Source organism: Homo sapiens, chromosome 5 (assembly GCF_000001405.40).
Source record: "Homo sapiens chromosome 5, GRCh38.p14 Primary Assembly".
Classification (NCBI taxonomy): Eukaryota; Metazoa; Chordata; class Mammalia; order Primates; family Hominidae; genus Homo; species Homo sapiens.
The window spans coordinates 40,862,689-40,869,656 of NC_000005.10; the positions used below are offsets into that span (position 1 = coordinate 40,862,689).

The 6,968-nt window shown below is 45.6% G+C and overlaps 2 annotated features.

Annotated features, from left to right (window-relative positions):
* Positions 2,005-2,205: a silencer, noted in NCBI's record as "peak5236 fragment used in MPRA reporter construct". NCBI's record gives its function as "represses an SCP1 promoter by STARR-seq MPRAs in K562 erythroleukemia cells {active_cell/tissue: K562}" and the evidence as "EXISTENCE:reporter gene assay evidence [ECO:0000049][PMID:32103011]".
* Positions 2,365-2,565: a silencer, noted in NCBI's record as "peak5237 fragment used in MPRA reporter construct". NCBI's record gives its function as "represses an SCP1 promoter by STARR-seq MPRAs in K562 erythroleukemia cells {active_cell/tissue: K562}" and the evidence as "EXISTENCE:reporter gene assay evidence [ECO:0000049][PMID:32103011]".

Genomic DNA, 6,968 nt, shown 5'->3' on the forward strand with positions numbered 1-6,968 from the left:
TCTGGGACTAATTGCAACCTCCGCCTCCCAGGTTTAAGCGATTCTCCTGCCTCAGCCTCCAGAGCAGCTGGGATTACAGGCGCCTGCCATTATGCCCAGCTAATTTTTTGTATTTTTAGTAGAGATGGAGTTTCACCATGTTGGACAGCTAGTCTTGAGCTCCTGACCTCGTGATTCACCTGCCTCGGCCTCCCAAAGTGCTGGGATTACAGGTGTGAGCCATCGCACCTGGCCTTGCCTTTTCCTTCTTTCATTTTTTTTTTTTTTTTTTGAGATGGAACCTTGCTCTGACACCCAGGTTGGAGTGCAGTGGGCCATCTCGGCTCACTGCAACCTCTGCCTCCCAGGTTCACGATGTTCTCCTCCCTCAGCCTCCGGAGTAGCTGGGATATTACAGGCACATGCTACCACACCCGACTGATTTTTGTATTTTTAGTAGAGACAGGGTTTCACCATGTTGGCCTGGCTGGTCTTGAACTCCTGACAAGTGATTCGCTCTCCTAGACTGAGCCCAGACTAGATTGTCTTTTTTTTTTTTTTTTTTTTTTTTTTCTGAGACGGAGTCTAGCTCTGTCGCCCAAGCTGGAGTGCAGTGGCACAATCTCAGCTCACTGCAAGCTCTGCCTCCTGGGTTCACGCCATTCTCCTGCCTCAGACTCCTGAATAGCTGGGACTACAGGCACCCGCCACCACGCCCAGCTAATTTTTTTTTGTACTTGTAGTAGAGATGGGGTTTCACCGTGTTAGCCCGGATGGTCTCGATCTCCTGACCTCATGATCCACCTGCCTCGGCTTCCCAAAGTGCTGGGATTACAGGTGTGAGCCACCGTGCCCGGCCCCTAGATTGTCTTTTCTAATCTGAGGTGTCAATATTTTTCATACCCTCCTGGCCCGGTGCGGTGACTCACGCCTGTAATCCCAGCACTTTGGGAGGCCAAGGCAGGCAGATTACCTGAGGTCAGGAGTTCGATACCAGCTTGGGCAACATGGTGAAATCTCATCTCTACTAAAAACACAAAAATCAGCTGGCTGTGGTGGCACGCACCTGTAATCTCAGCTACTTGGGAGGCTGAGGCAGGAGAATTGCTTGAACCTGGGAGGTGGAGCTTGCAGTGTGGCTGAGATTGGGCCGCTGCACTCCAGCCTGGGTGATAGAGCCAGACTCTGTCTCAGAAAAAAAAAAAAAAAATCTAAAGCAGTGGTTTTAACATTTGAATGTGTGTAAAAATCATCTAGGGTAGATGTTAAAATTGCATATTCAGAGCTTCACCCTTAGATTCTGGTTCACTAGGTCTGGGCTGGGCCTGAGAAATCTGCCTTTTTTTTTAAATTTAATTTTTAAAATTTTCATTTTTTTGTGTGGATACAGGGTCTCACTGTGTTGCCCAGGCTGGTCTCAAACTTTTGGACTCAAGCAATCCTGCCTTGGCCTCCCAAAGTGGTGGGATTACAGGAGTGAGCCACTGTGCTTAACCTGAGAAATCTGCTTCTTAACAGGAACCCCTGCTGAGGCAGATAGCAGGGGTTCTCCGTGAAAAAACCAGATATAGCCTGGGTGAAAAGCCTGTTTTCAGGTGCTCAGAGAAAGATATTTCCATTTAGACCAAGAATCCTGGCTGGGGTAGTCTTTTTCGTTACTCTTATTAAACTCATTATTCATCTCCTCCTGGAAAATTGGGCACAAAAGCTGGTGAAATATGTTGCAGGAAGTCAGGGACCCCAAACAGAGGGACCAGCTGGAGCCGTGGCAGAGGAACATAAATTGTGAAGGTTTCATGGACATTTATCACTTCCCTAATAATACTCTTATAATTTCTTACATGTGTCTTACTTTAATCTCTTAATCCTGTTATCTTCATAAGCTGAGGATGTACGTCACCTCAGGATCACTGTGATGATTGTGTTAACTGTAAAAATTGATTGTAAAACGTGTGTTTGAACAATATGAAATCAGTGCACCTTGAAAAAGAACAGAATAACAGCGATTTTTAGGGAACAAGGGAAGACAACCATAAGGTCTGACTGCCTGCGGAGTCGGGCAAAAAGAGCCATATTTTCCTTCTTGCAGAGAGCCTATACACGGACGTGCAAGTATGGGAGATATCACTAAATTCATTTCCTAGCAAGGAATATTAATGTTAAGACCCTAGGAAAAGAATTGCATTCCTGGGGGGACGTCTATAAACGGCCGCTCTGGGAGTGTCTGTCTTATGCAGTTGAGATAAGGACTGAAATACGCCCTGGTCTCCTGCAGTACCCTCAGGCTTATTAGGGTGGGGAAAAAAACCGCTCCCTGGTAAATTTGATGTCAGACCAGTTCTCTGCTCTCAAACCCTGTTTTCTATTGTTTAAGATGTTTATCAAGACAATACATGCACAGCTGAACATAGACTCTTATCAGGAGTTTTTGATTTTGCCCTTTGCCTTGTGATCTTTGCTTTGCCCTTTGCCTTGTGATCTTTATTGGCCTCAGAAGCATGTGATCTTTGTTTTTGCCCTTTGAAGCATGTGATCTTTCTGACCTACTCCCTGTTCGTACACCCCCTCCCCTTTTGAAGTCCTTAATAAATACCTGCTGGTTTTGTGGCTCAGGTAGGCATCACGGACCTACCGATATGTGATGTCACCCCTGGAGGCCCAGCTGTAAAATTCCTCTCTTTGTACTCTTTCTCTTTATTTCTCAGACCGGCCGACACTTAGGGAAAATAGAAAGAACCTATGTTGAAATATTGGGGGTGGGTTCCCCTGATAGAAATGAGATGATAATGAGGTAAAAATCTATAGCCCTTTAAGATTAGGGCTGTTCTACCTATAAGTTTCTGTATCTAGCACTTTTAATTTTGTCTGCAAATTTTGTACCTGATTAAATGTAAGTGACCTCCTTATATTTTTTCAACATGTGCTTCTTTCTCCTTGCTCCATGGCTAGGACTTGATTTTTTTTTTCTTAAGCCTCAATCCTTCCTTCTTCTTGCCCAGTGTCACTGGGGAATATAATATCATTCTTTCAGTGTTGAGAGAATCACTTTACGAGGGTAACATGCAGTATAATTTTTGGCTTGGGGCTTGATTTGATACTGCCATGTCTTTAGGCCTCATGGACTAGATGAATTTCTCAGGGACGGTCAAGGCAAAGAGAGTGGAGAATAGATCAAGATATTGAGATACTGGCCAGGTGCAGTGGCTCACACCTGTAATCCCAGCGCTTTGGGAAGCTGAGGCAGGCGGATCACCTGAGGTCAGGAGTTCAAGACCAGCCTGGTCAACGTGTGAAATGCCGTCTCTACTAAAAATACAAAAATTAGCTGGGCGTGGTGGTGCATGCCTGTAATCCCAGCTACTCAGTAGGCTGAGGTGGAAGAATTGCTTGAACCTGGGAGGTGGAGGTTGCAGTGAGCCGTGATCGGCCACTGCACTCCAGCCTGGGTGATAAGAATGAGACTCCATCTCAAAAACATATTTCACCAGATACTGCAACATATTTCACCAGATACTGAGATACTGAGATGCTGTGAGTTCTCCTGAAGGGCCTCGGCTCCCTAGTCCCTGTCCTTGGTAATCTCCACCCCCATTTCTGGGTATCAGGATAAAGAATAAAACCCAAAGACAGGTTTGACTACTGCATGCCTTTAATATCTGTCCTATCTCCCACAACTGAATTCAATGAAGGGATGGAGTAAGAAAGCAGGAAATACTATTAATACAAAAATATGTCAACCAATACTTGAGATATCATCCCAACACAACAGTAGCCTGGGCCTTGGGGACAGAGTGGCAAGAGTGGCTTGAGCAAGGGCAGCCTGTAATGCACATTAAGAAGTCAGTAAGCTCAATTCCCCAGTCTGGGTGAGGTCTGGGTGGGGAAGAGGAGCCCCGAGGGGTGCTGGGAAGCCCTGGATGGGGCACTTTCAAGAAGACAATGGAGACTCAGGCTTTTTATCAGATTAGGGCCAATTTCCTTACTTTTGAACAAAACCTACTTCAGGTGCTTTTAAGATAAGGAATGAGATAAATGTTTCAGAAGCTAAGAGACAGCACCATCAAAGGAGTATTCTGCTGCGTCTTTACTCTGCCTAAACTATGTTTAAAATTATTCAGATATCACCAATACAGTTTCAGTCCAGGGCTGCTTGATGAGAGTGTTGCTTCGTTCTCCCTTCACAATAGCTCCTGTGGTAAGGAGTGTGCTTGGCCGGCTGTCCCCCTCCGTGACACCTTGGGGGTCCACTCTGCAGCTTTGCTGAAGCCACACTCTCATAAGCTGCTTCCAGCCAGTGACTGGGCATGGTAGTGTAATAGAGCTGGGCCAGTCTTTGTCATGTGGGACTCTTCTACCAGGCAATCTTTGTTCTGGGGCTCTTTGTTGGCCTGGTTGAGACTTTCTCTGAGCTGTGCTGTAGTCAGAAGCTCGTCCATTCCTCCATCCCCTCTCTTTCTCTTTATAGGTATCAGCCCCGCATGGCAGTGTGAGGCTATCCCTGCCTTCTCAGGCTCTATCCTCCCTTCATGCTTCAAAGACTTTTCTTACACTTCTAATTCCATCTCACCGTCTGCTTCCCAGAGGACCAGAACTGGCACAAGATCTTTGTGAAAAGTGTTTCTTCTTTTTTCAAATGTCTGGGCGGTTTCACATACTTACCCCACTCTCCTTTTTGTGAGAATCCAGACCCAGGGATTTTTGTCTGTAACTATTGAGATGGGATTTTTCCCTTGATCTTGACCCCCTTCGTGGGCAGGAACTGGAGTGTCTCGTTTCACTCAGCCTGCAGTTCATGGACGGCTAAGTGTTAACAGCTCAGTGAAGGGTCAGGGTGACAGCCTCCTGCACCTGCCCTTTTTCAACACCCAAGTTCTTGTTCGGTGTCCAGGAAGAATCAAGTCACAGGAACTCTTTGAAAGACAATGAATGTGGAAGACTTTATTGAGCAGTAGAAGTGGCTCTCATGGAAGGGGAGCTGGAAACGGGATGGTGCAGGAAGAAGGTGATCTTTCCCTGAAACCCAGCCATCTCTGGCTGGGCTCCCCTCCAAAATCGCACCGTCTGAAGTTAGCCACATTTATCCATAGTCTCTCATGCTCAGTTGTTTCTCTGCTCACCTCTCAACTGCTTGCATCCCCAAGGCTCAGCAGCTTGTATCCCTGAGGTTCAGCCACTTGTGTTGCTCTTTTTTTCCTTTTTTTTTCTGCCAGCTGGTCTGGATTTTATGGGCACAGGATGGGGGAGGGGCTGTTGAGGCATGTAAACCAGAGCAACTCCATCTTGAATGGAGATAGGTAAAATGAGGCTGAGACCTACTGGGTTGCATTCCCAGATGGTTAAGGCATTTTAAGTCACAAGATGAGATAGAAGGTCGGCACAAGATACAGGTTATGAAGACCTTGCTAATAAAACAGTTTGCAGTAAAGAAGCCAGTTAAAACCCATCAAAACCAAGATGGCAATAAGAGTGACCTCTGGTCTTCCTCACTGCTACACTCCCACTAGTGCCATGACAGTTTACAAATGCCATGGCAATGTCAGGAAGTTACCCTATATGGTCTATAAAAAGGAGGCATGAATAGTCCACCTCTTGGCATATAATCAAGAAATAACCATAAAAATGGGCAACCAGCATCCCTCAGTACAAGTCCCTCTTTTATTCCTCTACTTTCTTAATAAATTTGCTTTCATCTTACTCTATGGACTCGCCCTGAATTCTTTCCTGTGCAAGATCCAATAACCGTCTCTTGGGGTCTGGATCAGGACCACTTTCCTGTAACAGGGTGGGTCCAAAAGGCAATCATTTGGGCCGAAAAAAGCGGGGTCAGCTGTTTTCACTTAGGGCCAGAGTTCTAGGCTTGAGGGAGGTGTTTAACTGGGAGCCCAGCCATTCTGTATCATTGTGAGAGTCTACTTCAAAGAGTAAAGTGATTTGGCTCTGTTTAAATTATTTTATTTATTTATTTATTTGTTTTTGAGATGGAGTTTCACTCTGTCGCCCAGGCTGGAGTGCAGTGGTGCTATGTCGGCTCACTGCAACCTCTGCCTCCTCTGCCTCCTGGGTTCAAGCAATTCTTCTGCCTCAGCCTCCTGAGTAGCTGGGACTACAGGTGCTCACCACCACGCCCAGCTAATTTTTCATTTTTAGTAGAGACAGGGTTTCACCACGTTGCCTAGGTTGGTTTATGAACTCCAGGGCTCAGGGAATCCTCCTGCTTCAGTCTCTGAAAGTCCTGGGATTACAGGTGTGAGCCACCACACCTGACCTGACTCTTTTTTTTATTAACTCTCTTGGGGTGGAAATCATTGACAGAAATTATTAAATCCAATCTAAAGTAAGTAAATTGATTTGGAGTGGGTGAATGAAAAAAGTTTCTATCTTTTGGTGGTGAAGCTGCCTTTGCAAAAATTGTAGTAGTAAGGGAAATCTGACATAACTGACTCCATCTTGCTTCTACCAGGCTAAATTTCCTTTTTTTTTTTTTTTTTTTTTTTTTTTGAGAGTCTTGCTTTGTCACCTAGGCTGGAGTGTGGTGGTGGAATCTTTGCTCACTGCAACTTCTGCCTCCTGGATTCAAGTGATTCTCATGCCTCAGCCTCCCAAGTAGTGGGGATTACAGGCATGTGACACCACACCTGGTTACTAATTTTTGTATATTTTGTAGAGATGGGGTTTCACTATGTTGCCTAGGCTGGTCTCAAACTGCTGGCCTCAGGCAATCCTCCCTCCTTGGCCTCCCAAAGTGCTGGGATTACAGGCGTGAACCACCACACCTGGCCTACCATTCTATCTTTAAATAAAACCATAACAAAACTTCTCTATTGCTTCCAGTGGTTTTTCTCTAGAAAGTGCTTCTCAAATTTCAGTGTGCATATGAAATCCCAAGAGACCTTGTTAAAATGCAGATTAGGATTCATTAGGCAGAGAGGAGTGCAGAGCTGAGATTCAGCTGAATGTTCATGCTGATGCTGGTGGTTCACAGACCACTC